The sequence below is a fragment of the Homo sapiens genome, chromosome 15 (genome assembly GCF_000001405.40).
Source record: "Homo sapiens chromosome 15, GRCh38.p14 Primary Assembly".
NCBI classification, from domain to species: Eukaryota; Metazoa; Chordata; class Mammalia; order Primates; family Hominidae; genus Homo; species Homo sapiens.
In genome coordinates this window covers 80,189,950-80,208,168 of record NC_000015.10, presented here as the reverse complement: position 1 = coordinate 80,208,168, position 18,219 = coordinate 80,189,950, and the positions used below count along the sequence as shown (strand labels likewise).

At 43.5% G+C, this 18,219-nt stretch overlaps 1 protein-coding gene across 1 annotated transcript in view, besides 1 other annotated feature; it reads left to right on the top strand.

The window, feature by feature from the left end:
* CTXND1 (cortexin domain containing 1) overlaps positions 1-12,688 on the top strand; it is a 56,733-nt gene extending 44,045 nt beyond the window's left edge. The window contains exons 2-3 of the mRNA NM_001352888.2: positions 4,429-4,580; positions 6,155-12,688. Coding sequence (NP_001339817.1) covers positions 6,220-6,399 — 180 coding nt within the window. The 5' untranslated portion in view covers positions 4,429-4,580; positions 6,155-6,219 and the 3' untranslated portion in view covers positions 6,400-12,688. The remainder of the gene's footprint in view (positions 1-4,428; positions 4,581-6,154) is intronic.
* Positions 10,757-10,926: an enhancer, noted in NCBI's record as "experimental_41475 CRE fragment used in MPRA reporter constructs". NCBI's record gives its function as "activates a minimal promoter by MPRAs in K562 erythroleukemia cells, with activity observed for the non-introgressed 15:80489670 variant allele {active_cell/tissue: K562}" and the evidence as "EXISTENCE:reporter gene assay evidence [ECO:0000049][PMID:34662402]".
* Positions 12,689-18,219: the final 5,531 nt, after the last annotated feature.

The following is an 18,219-nucleotide window of genomic DNA, read 5'->3' as shown; positions in this document are numbered from 1 at the left end:
TTGTTCCCAGTTTTTCACTGTTACAATACTGCAGTGAACGTCTTTCAAAATCCCAGGGCAAAAGAACAGCAGAACTTTGACCAAACACCTATTTCCTCATCCTCAAGCCTGGCCTCATAGTTGTGAGTGGCTATTAATGAATGGCCAATGTTCTTAAGTTTCACAACTTGCATTCCACAGCGCAGAATCAAAAACCAGTTGCTGGATAATCCTGAATAATTTCCCCCAGGAAGTTTTCAGCTATCTCAAGCCACTAAGGAGAAAAGCTAGAATCTAAGATATGCCAAGAAAGGAACAGCTCAAGTAAACATCCCAGGATCTCAACTTGGAACCCTACAGTGCAACACCCTAGGAATATTGTCAAACCAAAGATAGACACAGCCTTGTTTACAATAAGTGAACCCCACCTGAAGTGGGCTTAGCCCCTTATTGAATGGAGGTGATCTGCTTCACAATAGTTGCTTACCAGAGAAAATGGTGAATCCTCTCTGCAGAAAAATAACATCACCCTGAGCTACTGCAATGTTTTACATCAGTGCTCAGTAACTCACTGAAATGTTTATCAGGTATATCAAGAAACTGAACCAAAAGAAAAAATAAACAATAGAAGCAAACTCACAGATGACCTAGATATTGGAGTTATCAAATAAGGACTTCAAAAAAATTATGATATCAGTGACAAGGTGGAAAATGGCACTGGAGGGCTGGAAATTGTTTTAAAGCATCAAATGGAAATTCTAAAACTGAAAAGTATGGCTGAAGGGAAATGTGAATAGGTAGATTTAATAGCTGATGGGACATAGTTAAAGACAAGATTAATGAACTTGAAGTTAGTTCATAAAAATATTCAGACTACAGCATAAAAAGAAAAAAAAAACAGGAAAAAAGCATAACAAATAAAATTGTGACACAGTGAAAAGGTCTAAGTGTATCTGGAGCACCAGAAAGGGAAGAGAGAGAAAATGGGACAGATGAATATTTAAAAGGGAAAGAGCCCAGAATTTTCAGAAGCTGACATCAAGTAACATTCAAGAAGTAGTACAAACACTAAGCAAGAAAATCCAGAGAAAACCACACATAGGCACATTCACAGGAAAACTGCTGAAAACCAAAGAGAAGGAGAAAATCTTTAAGGCAGGCAGAGAAAAATATACATTCCCTTCAAGGGAGACAAGACCTTGGGGAATATTATTCACATGACCTCTTCCTGAAGGACATGGTAGACAACAATCTACAGCCAAACAAGAGATGATAGAAAAACTTCAGCCAAAGGACTGGTGGGAAGCCTTAAATAGATGTCACTGTAAAACTGAGAATGAAAACTAAGGTAGACATAAGGGCAAAAACAACATATAAATGTTACATCCCCTAACCGTGTAGAAATAACAGAACTAACTGACAATGGAAAGAGAATGGGAAAAGGAGGTGAAAGTTAAAATAAGCTCCCTAATTTCCTAATATCTTACAGCTGGGAATAAATATACATCTAAAGTTGACAATTCAAATTACAGAAACTGACACACATTTAAAAGAACAAACGTAAACAATTAGAAAGCTAATACTAGTGACTAAAATTAGGTAGTGGAAGAGAAAATAAGAGTAAGAATCAGGGATAAAGAAAAAAACAGTAATAAACTAAAATAAAAATAAATAAAATGAGTATATTTACTTCAACTCTCTGCTTTCAAGGCCAAAAAGGAGAGATACCAAAAAACCAATAGAAAAATAGATAAAGGATATTAACAGAGAGTTCACAAAAAAGGAAGGACAAATGGATCTTAAACACATGCAAAGATGCTTAACTTCATTCACGAAGATAAATGAAAATTACTCTGAGTGCTACAAGGGTATATACATTTGTAAAATCTCAAAATGATGCATTTAATATTTGTACATTTCACTACATGTAAATTTTACCTTTTAAGAAATCTGTAAACAAATATTGAATTCTAGTTAATGATACACACGCTGAAGTGCTTTGAAGTGAAGTGTACTAATGTTTGCGTCTTACTTTGAAATGCATTCCAAAAATAAAAAGGATGGATAGGTGGGTAACTATGAAATTTTTAAAATGCAGCAAAACGTTAACAACTATAGAATCTAGGTGGTGAGTATATATTTGTTTACTGTATAATTCTTTCAACTTCTCTGTGTGTTTGAAAATGTTTGCTATAAGATGTTGTAACATCTTCTTTCAAATTTTCTTTCAAATTGGCAAAAATAAAGGATAACTTGATTTTCAAGATTGTGTGACTGAAACACCAGGGGTTTGGTCTGGGTCCTGTTGCTCACTGTACAGAAAGCCAGTAACTGAAACAATGAGTATTTCCAGGGAAAAAGGCTTTTTATTCTCATGATGTCAACTGGGAGAATGAGAGAGAAGTCTCAAATCCATCGCCTCAACTGACTAAAATTGGGGGTTTATAGACTAGGGAAAGAATGTGGAAAAGTTGGACTAGGAAGGTAAGGAACAGTAAGAAAGATGAACGAGGGGTCTGGTGTCTCGTTGTCTGGATGCCGGGATCTGGTGCATTTCAGTCCCTTGCCTGAGAGTCAGTTTTCTAAGGAAAAAACTCAGATGAGACAAATGTAAGTTTCAAGTTTTAAGACTGGGAGGGTCAATTTCTATGTTTATTCAAAAAACCCATAAATATCAGTTCTATGGGACAACTGGGCTGGTTTCAACTGTAGGACAACCATCCCTCACAACCTTTGCCAATGGAAGCTTACATAGGTACAACCTCCAAGAATAATACTATCAATCAGAATTAAAATGAATTTATCCTTAGACACAGCAGTTTCACCTGAAGGAATTTAATTACGGACATACTCAGACATGTGCAAAATGACATCGCTACAAGGACATTTACTCCATCAATACATGAAAAACAAAAGATTGGAAATTCTGTCTAACTGATAGAAGAACGGTTGAATTTACTATGGGATATCCGTACAACAAAATACAATAGAGCCATTAAAAAGAAAGAGGCAACCTTCTATGTACTGACATGAAATAATCTCCAAGATATGTTAAATTTTAAAAGATGTGGAACAGTTTATATAACAGGCTTGCATTTGTTAGAAAAACAAATACATAAACATACATATTTTCCTGTATAAGAATAAAATATCTCCAGATTAGAAGGATGTATAAAGACCTGACAACAGTAGCTTCCTCTCTGGAGATGAACTAGATGGCTGGGGAGAGGGGTAGTAAAAACACTGCTTTGACTGTTTTCTTTTTGTGCTTTTTGAGTTTTGAAAAGTGTACAACTATTAATTACGCAAAATGTTCAATTTAATCCTCAAAAAGTTAAAAACATGATTACCATATGATCCAGCAATGCCACTTCTGCTTATATACCCCAAAGCATTGAAAGCAGAGTCTCAAGGAGAGATTTGTACACCCACATTCATAGCAGCACTATTTACACAGCCAAAAGGTGAAAACAACCTGAGTGTCCATTGATGAAAAAATGGATAAACAAAATGTGGTATATATATATATATATATATATATACAATGGAATATTATTCGGACCTTAAAAAAAATGAAATTCTGACATGCTACAATATGGATGAAGCTGGAGGACATTATGCGTAATGAAATAAGCCAGTCACAAAAAGACAAATACTGTACAATTCCACTTATATGAAGTATGTAGAGCAGTCAGATTCATAGAGACATAAAGTAGAATGGTGGCCGCCCCGGGCTGGGGGAAGGGGAATGGGGAGTTATGGTCTAATGAGCGCACAGTTTGTTTTGCAAGATGAAGAGTTCTGGAGATGGATGGCAGCAATGGCTGCACCACAGTGTGGATGTACTTAATGCCACTGAACAGTACACATAAATGCCACTGTACACTTTAAAATGGTCAAGATGGTAGATTTTATATTATGTGTATGTGGTCACATTTTTTTAAGTTTATAAATATATATGTGTGTGTGCATGTGTGTATGTGTTTGTGTATATATATATATATATATATATATATATATTTTTTTTTTTTTTTTTTTTTTTTGAGACACAGTCTTGCTCTGTCGCCCAGGCTGGAGTGCAGCGGCGCAACCTCCGCCTCCTGGGTTCAAGTGACTCTCTTGCCTCAGCCTCCTGAGTAGCTGGGATTACAGGCATGCACCACCACGCCCGGCTAAACTTTTTGTACTTTTTGTAGAGACAGGATTTCACCATGCTGGTCTCGAACTCCTGAGCTCAAGCAATCCTCCCACCTCAGCCTCCCAAAGTGCTGGGATTACAGACTTGAAAGTTGTTATATTTTAAAAAGAGAGAAGAAATCAACATCAAGTAACAGAGTGTGGCAGCTCCCACCCCCATGCCAGGGAGGAGCTACCCAGGCGAGTCCACATCAAATCTGGGGCTGGGCATCTCAGGAAATAACTAGTCTTCTTTGTCTCTTTCTCTTACAGTCACACTCCAGCGCCCCCACGAGCCAGCACAGTGCCTGCTCTCAGTGAAAGGCCACTGTTCTCCTTGGGTGACCCCCATGATGCCTGACCGCTCCTCGTGCCTCCTGGAACAGCCAGGGTCCTTATGAAGTGGTGACCACTCCAGTCAGCAGGTCAGTGTCCCCCGAGAGTGATGAGGGCTGAGACAAGGTCTAAGAGAGGGGAAGGCGTGGTTGACTGTGGTTACAGATATTCCCCAGCCAGCGGGCTCCAAGCTTGCACACACAGGTATCTTCCTGAAGCTCCAGAGTGGGTGGGGAAGATGGAGCCCCACTACAGGAGGCAGAGACATGTAGGGACCTCGGGTGTGGGATGTGGGACCTTGGATACGTCATTTCCCTGCTCAGTGCCTCAGTTTCCACATTTATAAAATGGGCCTATTGATGCCTGGGTAACTTGCTTCCAGGGGTATCATGAGCTTTAAATAACAGACAGAACACGAAGCACAGAGTACAGTTCAAGCACTCCACAAGTTCAGGGATGAGGATAGGGACGAATGCTATGTATGGGGAGAGGGAGCAGCAGCCGGCCCTCCTCCTAAAGCTGTCCCTGGCAGCTGAACTTGGGGAGCTGCCTGCTCGCTCCTAGCCAGCTCCTCGAGCTCCCAGTTCACTCAAAGTATGTACTGACCATCCACTGGAGCCAGGGACTGTGCATTTGGTCGTCACATCCCTGTGAAGCAGGTATGGCCACCTTTCCTCAGCAGGGAGGAAATTAGGACCCAGAGAAGTTGCAAATCATCCCAAGATGAATGAGTGATGTGTCAGTGTAGGCACTACCGCTGGAGTCCTAACAATAATTGAGAGCTGTCCAGACCTGCCCTGCAGGGTGGTGGCAGAGCTGGGACTCTTCCACGTGACTGCCAAAACTGTTCTTCCCATAACACTTACAGTTTTCAGGCCATGTGCTGGCGTCAGCAGGAGTCTCTAGAGAGTCCCTGTGAGGACCTGCAGCAGGGAAGGGGATATAGACCCTCCAAGCCTCTCACTCTCTTCCATGACAGCAGCCCCTCCTCAGTCTATTCCTCTGTGGTTTTCCACAATAGGTTTCATTTGAAATCTAGGTTCTTATGCTTTCAAAACATGATAGACCAGGCACAGTGGTCACGCCTGTAATCCTGATGCTTTGGGAGGCCAAGGCAAGAGGATTGCTTGAGCCAGGAGTTGGAGGCTGCAGTAAGCTATGATTTTACCACTGCACTCCAGCCTGAGCAACAGAGTGAGACCCTGTCTGTAAAATACATGTATAAATATAATAATTACCCAATTTTTGGAATGCTTTCAGATCACCCTCAGATAGTGGCTTGGCTAAATGGAAAGCATTATCCTAACTGCCTTTCTAAAGGGTTTCATGGAGTGGAGGCAGCTGCAGGGCCTCTATCCCCACCCAACCCTCAGCCCCACCCTAGTCCCATGCCTGCTGGGACTCATCTGTCACCTCCCCTGCCCCAGTCTGGGGAGGCACTGGCTGCACCCTGCTAGAGACTCTGGTTTACCTACAAGGTTTCGGGCTGTGACCATGTGGGTCCATGTGTACCCATCCCCTCCTACCCTCCTGCAGGGTGGTCTGAGCAGCAAGCTCTCGGTGCAGGGGTAGCAGATAAGAGGGAGCAGAGGTTGGTGCCCTGCAATCACCCCAGGCACCTGACCATGCCCCTCCTTCCCCACTGCTGTGGCTGTCTCTGCAGGGGTGGAAAATGGTACCAGTCAAACCCGAGGCGGAGGAGGAGCAGCCCGCAGTCGCTGCCGCGAGATGGAGGAGCCCACGCCCGAGCCCGTCTATGTCGACGTAGACAAAGGGCTGACCTTGGCCTGCTTCGTCTTCCTCTGCCTCTTCCTTGTCGTGATGATCATCCGCTGTGCCAAGGTCATCATGGACCCTTACAGCGCCATCCCCACATCCACCTGGGAGGAGCAGCACCTGGACGACTGAGGCACAGCGGCTGTGGGGACTGGACCTGGCGCTCTGTGGGTGGCTGTGCCCCAGGATGCATCCGTGTGTTCCCTGCCAGCCTGCCATCCCACAGAGGCAAGGAATGAATCTGGCCACCCAGGGAAACAGAAGGTGCAGCTTAGCCCTCTCAGCCCTCCCTCGAGCACCAGCGTGGAATGCCCGGGTGCCGTGGGTGTCGCAACCATGGACCAGCCAGGGGAAAAGAGCCCTGGACCAGGACCCAGGAGGCTGGGGTTCCAGTGTGGGGAGTCCCTGTGAGATGATAGGGTAGTCACCTTCCCAGGTTCCTGGGCACCTTTTGGAACTGGATCCAGCAACAGACACCCCCCATCCATCACATAACAGTGGTCTTGTCTTGAGGAGACTCTCGGTCCTTTAAATGCAAAGTAGCAATGGAGGCTCCCAACCAAGAGGTCCCACCTGAACCCCAGCCCCCTCCCCATGGACTAGCAGTGGTGTGGCAGTGAGGGGGGAAAGCGGGTTGAGGGAGTCTCACCTGAAAATTCACAAAACGCACAGGATATGGGCTGCTTCCAAGCAGTATTTTTTTAAACTAAAATATAGAGGGATATATTTTTCCTGTTATAAATAAAATGTACATTTTAGAAACTTGGGAAAATGCAGATAAATAGAAAGAAAGGGGGAGGAAATAACACTTATAATCCCACCTCCCGGAAACCACCATTTTGATATATTTTCTTCCAGCCTTTTTACTTGTATTTTTTAGTCAAATTCATACTCTGTGCATGATGTTGTATCGCCTCATATGATAGCAGGAATACTTCCCCATTACATCAAACACTCTTCTTAGCTGCCAGTTTTAGTGACCGAAGGGCATCCCATCGGTTGGGTAGGTCATGGTTAAAAAATCATCTCCTTTGGTTGCATATTTAATTATTTTCCACTATTTTTTCCTCACACAAAATGATTTCGCCCGGTACCCTTTTTGGGGGTGCACAGTCCATGAGATGAATATTGAATGGGGAGACCTGGGTTCTAGTCTCGCATTTACCAGTCAGGTTACAATGCGACCTTGAGCAAGTCACTTCACCTCCCAGCGCCTCAGTTTCCTCATTGTAAGATAGGAAAAGCCTTGTCATTTTTAAAATTTTATTTTTTGCATATACCTCATGTGAACGAAAGGACAGAAAGGGGAGTGAATATACTATGAATGTGCTATAGTCGGAGTTGGGGGGCAAGGAAGAAGTCATCGATGATGGCTCTTCTCAGGCCCTCCCTCCTCCCACCTCTTTCTGCCCTCCACCCCACTCCCACTCCATCACCTACATCTATGACCTTGCAGCAAAATCATTAGAGCAGAGCCTACAAAACCGGCCCCAAGTCCCAATTCCTCTACTTCCTTGTTAGAGGACCCCAAATAACTCACTCAGCCTCTCTGAGCCCCAATTTCCTCACCTGTAAAGTGAGGGAATAACATCTACCTCGCAAGGTTGTTGTGAGGACGAAATGAGAGAACATGGGCAAACATGAATGTTCTTGAATTCACCACCCCAGGAGAAGCCAGGGGTCTGAGCTGGGAGGAGCAGAGGTTCTGGGTGCCCCCTGCCCCTACAGAGCCTGGCACCTTCAGCTTTTCTCAACTTCTGAGGGCTGCTTCCTACAGGCCAAATCTCCCAGCCGGAACCACTTGGTCAGAGGAACACTCACAGCAGCCTTTCCCAGCACCTGACCTCAAGGGATATGGCGTCTACCAATTTACATAATTGCCTTTGTCATCAGTTTTCCCATAACATGGTACGAAGTTAAATGAGAGCACCTGAGCTCCCCTTCCTCTGAGTGCATTTATTCCATCCCTCCAAGCTGTGGCCTTCCATCCCCATCCAAGAGACCTGCAGCTGTGAAGAAGCTCAAGACTTCTTTCTCATTGCCTGCCTCCCAGCCATTAGTCCCCACCACAGCCCAGGCCACCTGGAAAATGGGTTCCAAAGCACTATCACTACTAGGTGACCCCTGAATGTGGACAAGGCCACAGCTCTTCAGGCAGCATTTCAGGGGCTATCCAGTTGTCATCCCTCTCATACCCCTCTCCTACCCACCCCTATCCCCACTATTGTGGAATGCACGAAGGGACAGCTGGCAAAGGCAGTGAACCAAGATGCAGGGAAGGCCCTGTATGATGGGGAGGATCTAAAGCAAAAGCCTTTTGTGCATTGCCTCAGGTTCAGCAGCAGCAGCCCTCACTCTGAAGCCTACCTTGAGAAGCCAGGCATTTCTGTGAAAAGCTCATCAGCATGCATTTACAATGCAAACTAGAACCAACTCCCAGTCAGCTAATAACAGACCCCAGGAAAAAGAAAAGGTCTTCCAGACCTCCCCGACACACTTTAGAACCCTCAGGGGTGAAAAAGAGGGTGCTCCAGGGCAGTGCAACTTAAACTGTGGTTGAAGGACAAACAGCCTCTGCAATACTTGAGGAGCTTGTTAGAAACCCAAACTCACAGCCCCCTCCAGACCTACGTACAGAATGTATATTAGCAAGATTCGCTAGGTGGTTTATGTGCACGTTAAAGTTTAAGAAGCACTGCCTGAGAATCCCTTGGTCCTAATTAATTCTTTTCCACACTCAGATTTGCTAATGGGTTTCACCTTATCTCTTGACTCTTGTTTGATGGCAACAGGAAATAGTAGCATTTCAGGAAGGGTGGAAAATATAAAAAGCACTCCCAACCCAAGCCTCCAAAAAACAGCAATTTTCATTTTGTGTCCATATATTCCCTTCTAATCATTGTCCTCATGCAAGATTTTTTTTCATAAAGATGATCTGCTACATAATTTTATATCATACTCTTTCTCCTAACATTACATCACAAGTATACTTTCATGTTGCTGCTACATTCTTCACACTTGTCATTTTAATGGCCATAAAACATGACATCTAGTGCACATATATAATTATGTAGACTCCTATTATTAAATATTTGGATTTCTTCCATTTTCCCTGTTGTACATGTTCCAAGCAAAAAAAGAAAGATCAAGATAGATATGATGAAGCCGGGGAGCTTGCTTAAGACAGGGGAGAATAAATACTTACAGTACACTCTCTCCATTTAAGAGACACATGGAGCACATGGGGGAGGGAGACCTGTCTAAGAACTGGATCATATTAAGGAGAAAAAAGCAACTGGAATCTCAGGCTTCAGTTGTTGCATTATGCTGCTGAAGCATAGAGGAGATGGTCCTTTGTGATCAGAGCGTCTCAACTCGTTTCTGGCAAGCTAAGATGAACTTTGGGGTTGTGGATAGAAAGATAAACTGATCTGCAAAAGAAATGCACAGAAGTATTGAAGGCTAGAAGTTGGCAGACAAGAAATGAAAAGCATTTAGAGAATGGGAGGCCTGTGAAGGTAGCCACAACCCAGGACTTAAGGAGAACACAGGCTGGAGAGGAACTCTCCAAAGCAGAGAATGGGTGGTGGGTTTTCCAGGCAATGGTGCCTAGTGGCCAGTTTTAAGTTGTTGCTTGTACTGTGCTCAGCTACACTCCCTTCATGTTGCCCCAAGCCCTCTCTAAAGTCTGATAAATGATCCACCACTCTGCAGCAGTGGTCTTTGGGACAATGAAGACACCTCGGTGGTGGGTCACTTAGGGAAATACAATCTGGAAGGGGCCAACAGTCCCAGAGACAAGTGGGGTAGCAGAAATATGCAGAACCAAGAGTTCAGAGTGATGGTCACTAGAAGAAATGTGGCCTCTAAGGATGCTCAGACAGGTGGATATGTATAGTAGGACCCTAGCTTTACCATCCTGGCATATCATTCCCATCATAGCTATTTCATTTTTTTCCAATTAGTTGCTGAAATGTCTACATGTTCTTATCGAGTTGAAAGATCAGTGTCTCCCTGTCTCATTAAATTTCCAGAACTTCAGAGGCTAAATCAATCCAAAAGGGGCTGGCCCTGCTTTCAAACACCAAGTGAAGAGAACTACAAAGTTTGGTGTGTCCACTAGTGTGGTTTCATACCCCCTAGGTCTTGCTGTTGAGGACTGGTTCTGCCAGGCATGATCAATGACCACCCACAATGTCCTGTGGCCCAGCCTGTGGAGAGGTGCCCAAACAGAGTTATCTGGGTCCACATCCATGTGCCCAGCTATTCTGTCCAATCATAGCACAAAGACAGGTTGCCTGTGTCCAGAGGGACACACAGCCTCAGGCACACCAGCCCTTACTTATGAGCTTGATGGTCATCAGCAAAGACTCTCTCCCTTTAGGAGGGTTCTCCTTGGGACTTTTCAGTGTCTTGGCAGGAAAGAGATGGCACACACGAAGCACTGATTGAAGACAGTTTAATGAAAGAATATTTACAGAGGTTGGGCAAGGGTATGGAAAACAACAGGGAACAGTAAAACACCCAGGGATGACAAGGCAAGGTAGCTCATGTCTGTAATCTCAGCACTTTGGGAGGCCAACACAGGCAGATTGCTTGAGCCCAGGAGTTTGAAACCAGCCTGGCAACATAAGCAAGAATCTGTTTATCTACAAAAAATAAAATAATTAAAAAAAAATTACCTGGCTGTGGTGTTGCACACCTATAGTCCCAGCTACTCAGGAGTCTGAGGTGGGAGGATCACTTGAGTCCAGGAGTTTGAGGTTACAATGAGCTAGGATCACACTACTGCACTCCAGCCTAGGCGACAAAGAGAGATGCTGTCTCTAAAAATAAAAAACAAAAACAAACTACCCAGGAACAGGCAGGCCACCAACTGTTACCATCTCTTGCCTAGAGAGACAAGGAGAAGGATCTAGAACCCAGGGAGAGCTATAGCCATGGAGAAGGAGTCACCCAATGGAAGCCCTGGCCACAGCTAGAGGATCAAAACTCCTGCACCCACTGCAGCTCAGTAGGAAGAGAGCTGGGGGAATAAATACCTTGACCTCTTGCCTCCTGCCCTCCAATCTCCTGTCTGGGTCTTCCATTGGCCAAAAACAACAGAAGCTAAAGGTCAGGGGACCCTGGGTGATACGGTCCACATAGGCAGCACACTGGAGCAAAAGAAGAAAAACCAGCACAATTCATCTTATTACCACTTAGCAGCCATTCACAAACTTTGCTTAGATGGGAGAAAAATATTTTGTCCCCGGCACAGGGGAAACATAAAATCTCACCAGCAGCCATATTGTCTGGGGGTGATAGCAATTTAGTCCCACTCCCTCCTGCAACTTAAATCATAATGTAGCCAGTCCCGGGTAAGTGGAACACTTCCTGTAAAGCACAACTGCTAGTGCCCCCTTCTGTGGCTGGTCATGAGGCCCAGAGTGGTAACTGCAGTCTTGTTCTCCCACCACCCATTCCATAGCCCCTCTACTTTCTGGCAGTCCCTTAGCTGTTGGAGAATTTTATCTGGTGGAATGACCCAAATCTTCATCCACAGAGGATTCAAATTCTTAGTGCCGTGTCTTCAATGAGTTGCCACAGTATCCACAGATTCCTAAAGAACATGAAGAGGCCTTGAAGATCTCACCTGGAAGCTCTGTAAAATTATCAGAAAGAATAGCAGGTGCTCTAGGGCAACACTACTCAAACTATGGTCCACGGATGGACAGCATTGGCATCTCTGGGGAGCTTGTTAGAAATCTAATTTCATGCCCCCACCTCAGGCTTACAGAATGAGGACAAGGGATACAGGGAGTACCAAGTGCCCTAGCGAATCCCAGGGTTCCAAAGCTAGTACTCCTTGCCCCTATTGTGTAGCAGAAACCCCACTTTCCCTTGGATATTGGGGTTAACCATCCTGACAGTGCAGTGATCTCTTTCTCTGCCAATATTTCAACATAAGGAGCCCCAGATGGCACAAGATCATCTTCCAATTTAACAGACCCATAACTATATTCCCTGGTGGAAGCAGTTCCTCTTGGTCACTAGAGATTTCCAAACCCACAAAACCTAAGGTTTCTTGGTTAAAGGCCATGTTTGTGGGATATGCTGAGATGAATATGCTGTGGTTTGAATGTGTCCCCCAAAGTTCATATGTTGGAAACTTGATTCCCATTGCAACAGTGTTGAGATCTGGGGCCCAATGAGAGGTGATTAGGCCATGAGGGCGGAGTGAATGGATTAATGCAGTTATCTCAAGAGTGGGTTTGTTATGAAGGGGGTGTTTGGTCCTCTTTTCTCTCTTGCCCATGTGATTCCTTCCACCATGTTTATGATGCAACAAGAAGGTCCTCACCAGATGCTGGTTCCTTGATCTTGTATTTTGCAGCCTCCAAAATCGTGAGCCAAATAAATTTCTATTCATTATAAATTACCCAGTTTGTGTTGTTCTGTTTTAGCAGCACAAAATGAAAGAATGAAACACCACAAATGGCAGGGAGGGGCAGGAATGGCAAATCCATATCTGGAATATGTGTCTATTCCTACTGCCCTCTATGATGAAAGGGATTCAGTGTAATCAACCTGCTACCAAGTAAGCGGTTGGTCTGTCTCCTACCACCCATCTCTGGGAATGGTGCCATATCAGGGGCTTGGCATTGGTCTCATTCATTGGAAGGCTACATATCCAGAAGTTATGGAAACCAATGGACCTTCACAAGGGAAAGCCCATAGTGTTGATAGCCTCTATCCCTTCCACTATGGTCACTCTGTTCATGATGTCATTGAGCAAACACCAGAGTAGACAGAGGAAGAGGCTCACACCCCCAGGTTGGGTCATCTTATCCAGCTGATCGTTGAGAGTCTTTTCTGCAGTGGATGCCCTCTGATAGGCATTTAGATGGCTCTTGAATATCTTGACACCCAGGGCCCCTTCAAAGATGTCTTTTCACACATATCTGCCCAAGACTGCCTTGGACCCTCTCTTCCCATCCTGTTCAGTTGGGTCAACACTGTGATTCTCCTATTGGAGATGGTTAGGAATTCCATACAGCACTCCATTTGCAACAGATACTTCTGGCACTATTGGATCTGCTGATCTTAAGGTCCAAATGGCAGAGTAGCTTTCATCACAGTCTGGATATACCTTTTCTAGAGCCCTGTATTATTCTGGGCCCCATTCAAAACCAGCAATCTTATGATGTAACCAGTAAATCCATCAGACACACACACAAATGTTCTATATATTGCCTCAAAAATCCAGAGATCCATCAACTGCTGAGCCTCATTCTTTATGGTGGAAGACACAAGGTGAAGCAACATGTTTCTCATCTTAGTGGGGATATTCCAACAGGCCTCAGCCTGCTAGAACCCAAGAAGTTTCACCAATGTGTCAGGTCACTGAACCTCCACATGTGTTTTCTTCCCCTCTCTGGCAAGCATGTGGCAGTACAGCACTTGCTAGTCCTCATTCACCAGATCCAATTAGCATAATGTTATCAATGTAGCAGGCAATCATAAAGTTCTATGGGCTGTCAAGATGATAAGGGTCTCATATCATATGACAGAAACCAGGAGAATTGGCAGATCCCTGAGGTAATGCATTTAGGGTGTGCCGCAGTCTTGTAACAGGTGAAGGTGAACTCCTTCTGATTATCTGTATTGATTGTGATGCAATGGAAACTATTTCTAATATGACAGTTCTCAAACTTCAGTATGCATTAGAATCACCGGGACGGCTCATTCTAACACAGCTGGTAAGCCCCTAGAATTTTTAATTCAGGTGGTCTTCAGTGGAGTTCTATAAATTGTACATCAAACACATTCCAAGGTTAAGCTGCTAATCCAGACCTACCTTTTGAGAATTACTGTTCTAGTCACCAGGTACAATACCAGGTGCACACCAGGTGTCAGGGGCTGAGCGGATCTTCTCTAATAAAGATACCACATCCAGAACAACTCCTGAAATGGCATTAATTCCTGATTGTGTTTATGAAAATCTGTAGGACCCACCTGGCTTTTGCATAAGCCAGACAGGTGACTTAAATAGTGATGTGATTAGAACCACCTGTCCTGCATCTCTCAAGTCTTTGAAGGGGGCACAATTCAATTGCCCTGAAGATGCAGAATTGCTTTTGGTTTACTATTTTGTCACAAAGAGGCAGTTCCAAGGGCTTCCATGGGGCCACTTCTACAATAATAGCCCTCACTCCATGGGTCCAATTGTCACCCTTAATACCAATGACTTTATTCATCAGGATTTAAGCGGCAAATTCAAAAGGTTCAATGAAGAGGGTTTAATTTTGGGACAATTTTCAGAGGGACAGGTAAGGTAAAGAGAATCAGTAAGGGTTGATGATTAATCCAGGGTTAACAATGATAAGAAGCCATTACTGCCCCTTGCCTGGGGAGAAAACAGTGGCACCAGAATCTAGCAAAGACTGTGGTTATGTTGCCCACAGGAGCAGTAGGACATAGTGGGACACAGCCACTGCCCAAACCATGGCTCAGCAGGGAAAGAGTAAGGAGGATGATGCTCTCTGCTGCTTTATTCCTCTATATTCCAACCTCTGCCTGCACCTCCACTGGCCAATCCTAACCAGCAGCCAGAGAGCATGAGCCTGGGTGATGTTGTCCAACGAGGTCAGCCTCCAGGTGCGCAAACAGCAGGGCAGGGAAGGATGGAGAATAGATCTGGAGGGACAAAGGGAGATGAATCTGCAGAGGGCCCTGGGTGTTCTTCCTGCCAACAGACCTCAGTCAGGACCCAACCAGTGCACCCAAACCAATTTTCTAACTTTGACTATTTAGGAGGGAGGATTGGAATACCAGTTTCTCACATCCCTTGGACTTCTTATGCAATTTGGTCCACTCCCTCTCCACCCTTCTGCACCAAAGAGAGGGGCACCCTGGTTATATCCAACTATACCCTTTTTCCAAGGAAAGGAGTGTCCACTTGCCTCATCTACATAACTAAGAAGGACCCCAGAATTGAGAATACTTCAGCTGACCATACAGAGGCTGCTGGTCAACATATACCCCCAAAAAAGATTACGCTGTCCCTTAGAAGCCACCTCCATTTCACAGCAGTCATCCCATTAAGTGGGGAGATATGCGGTTTCACTTTGGAGATAGGACAGCAGCTCAAGCTTTCCACGAATATATATTAAGGGAAGAGAGACCCCAGAAAGCTAAATGACTTGATGACATTCAGGAGGCTGAAAGTTAGGCTACAAAAATAGTGCTTCAGTGACCAACCTTGGTGCACACAGGTTTTTTTTTTTTTTCCTTTTTTCTTCTCTTAGATTACCAAATACAGCACTAATATCATTTGAAAGAAGAGTTTGCTTGAGCTTATAGCTACGAAACGGGGAACTTTGTGAGTACAATGCCACACACATTTAGAAGCAACTACTGTCTAACAGGGGCTTTGGACACAAAGATGCATAGAGCACAGCCCTGCCCTTGAGAATCTTGCTTCCACAGGCCGAAATCAAAGTCCACATACCACTAGACCATAAATGGGGAGAGTGTTGTCCTAGATGCTGAAAGCTCTAGAATCCAGTTTCAGCTCTGCCACTCACTAGTTGTGTGAAATGAACAAGTCTCTGCTATTACAAAACAAATATCAGAGACCGTGTGGGGTCCAAAGATGGAGGTAAAGAAGCAATATTGCCCTTAGGCTGGGGTAAGGTATGGAGTGGGGGCTTCCTTGGAACTCATGCCACAGAGGGCCCAGCTTATAACAGATACGCACATACAAATCAATTTGTTCAAATTCATACAAGCACCTCTATCCCTCGGGCCTCAGGTTGGTGCAGCTCAACCTGTACTGCAAATATGAGTAATACTGTCCAAGCCAGGGGAGTTCTTCTTTACATCCCTGCCCTGTGTCCCCAGAATAAAAGAGACTGTGTGAATGTCACGCAGGACTGTGGCAGGTCCAACCCTGGAGGTGGACATGTCAGTGGAAGCGCTTAGGTAAGAGAAAGGAATGATTATTCAACTTGTTACACACTTCCTCCTAGCCAGAATGTAACTGATTCTTCCCCAAACAAATGACATTTCCCATTTATATCAAATATCCACTTTCTTGCTTTTTTTTTTTCTTTTTTGGCTTTTATATGATTGAAAATTGGTAAAATAGGCAACTGAACTTAATTATCATTGCCCTTGAAGAGAGTTGATGGGATGGCAATATTTGGATGAGAATTAAAGACATAAATTCATCAACTACATACCTACTTTATAAATTTTTAAAACCAAACTTTATTTCCAATCTGTGGTTCTGAAGGGACTCACAACATGTGCCCTCGTTGGCACATGGGTCTCATAACCTAAACAAAGAGTGATACTAATTCTTTACTTTGGCAACTAAGTGGACAGTGAACACTAAGACTGCAAAGTAGTTTTGTTTTTATAAAATATATTTAATAAGATTTAATTAATTTTTTTGAGCTGGGTGCAGTGACACGGGCTTGTAATTCCAGCTACTCAGATGGCTGAGGCAGGATGATCCCTTGAGCCCAGGAGTTTGAGGCCAGCCTGGGCAGCATAGTGAGACCCCATATCAAAAAACAAAACAAAAACAGATTTTATTACATTTTCAAAAAATGAATTTAGACATTTCATTTTGATTTAAAGAATTTTGAGATTAAATATTAAAGCTCTTTAATTATTTGTATCTCGCTTTTTATTATTAATAATTTTGAATATTTTCAAAGAAAACTAACTTTGAAAATGCATATGAAAAATTTAATTTTTCAATTTTTAACACAGAGTTTTGATGAAGATATTTACTTCTTGTACACTGAAGTATAATTCAATGTACTTTTTAATCTTTTATATCATCAATAAACCACACATTATATGAAAAGCTCAGGAGAGCATAATTAATGATTCTAATGAAATTAAAGAAAGAAAAATAATTGTAAAAATTAAAGTCTGATTTTAAAAATGTATAAAGTATAAAATTCATGAATTTATGTCTTTAATGCTCATCCAAACATTGCCATCCCATCGACTTTCTTCAAGTGCGGTGATAATTAAGTTTAGTTGTATATTTTACCAATTTTCAATCACATAAAAGCCATCACTTTGCAAATATGTTTGTTTTGCAATTATGAAAGCAAACATATCTAGGTAGGAGAATAGAAAGTATTTTATTTAACAGTGTATAGCTTGTTTATACCTCCTAAATACTGAGACTCCATGAGCACTCTCAGCTTAGGCCCTGCAAATGCTAGAAGTAGACCTATCAATAAGACACAATCTGCTCCCAGTGCTCTCCTAGAATTCATTCACTTACTGAATGAGTATACATCGAGCGGCTCTTACGTGCTAGGTACTGATGAACTTTCAGTAAGCAAAAGCAGACTATCCTCAAGGAGCTGAAAATCCAATGAAGGCAGATATTGATCAAATCATCATAGACAACAAAGGTCTATTTATTTCCAGGATCATGACCTTGGTGGGAATAGATGTGCCATGCTACTCCATTCCCTCTCCAAGAAAGAAATTGTCACTCCAACTTTTTGGTGTGCTGTTGGCAAACAGTCTGAAAATAAGACTGGCCTCAGCCTTATTTAGTTTTCAAGAGCAGAATTTTAAAAAACAAAAACAGGCTTGCAAGCAAGCATCCAGTCTTGGTCCCTCTCCCACGAGTTTCTTTCTGCCTCTCTGCAGGAGGAAGGAGAGCAAAATACTCCCACAGCCCTGGAAATCTTGCTGAGAGGACAGAAAGAGAGGGGATACACAGAAAACAAATTAGTACTTCAGGATACAACCCTGCCAAATTACTTTTTCTGGGGGTGTTAAAGGGAATATGCTTCCAAACTAAAGAAAGGGAGAAAATGTGAAAATAGAACCACTTTTGAGATCCATTTTGGTGTCAGGAATCTTTGAGATAATATTAATTGTGATACTTTACACCCCAAAATTGCCAGGCATGGTGTGTCATGCCTGTAA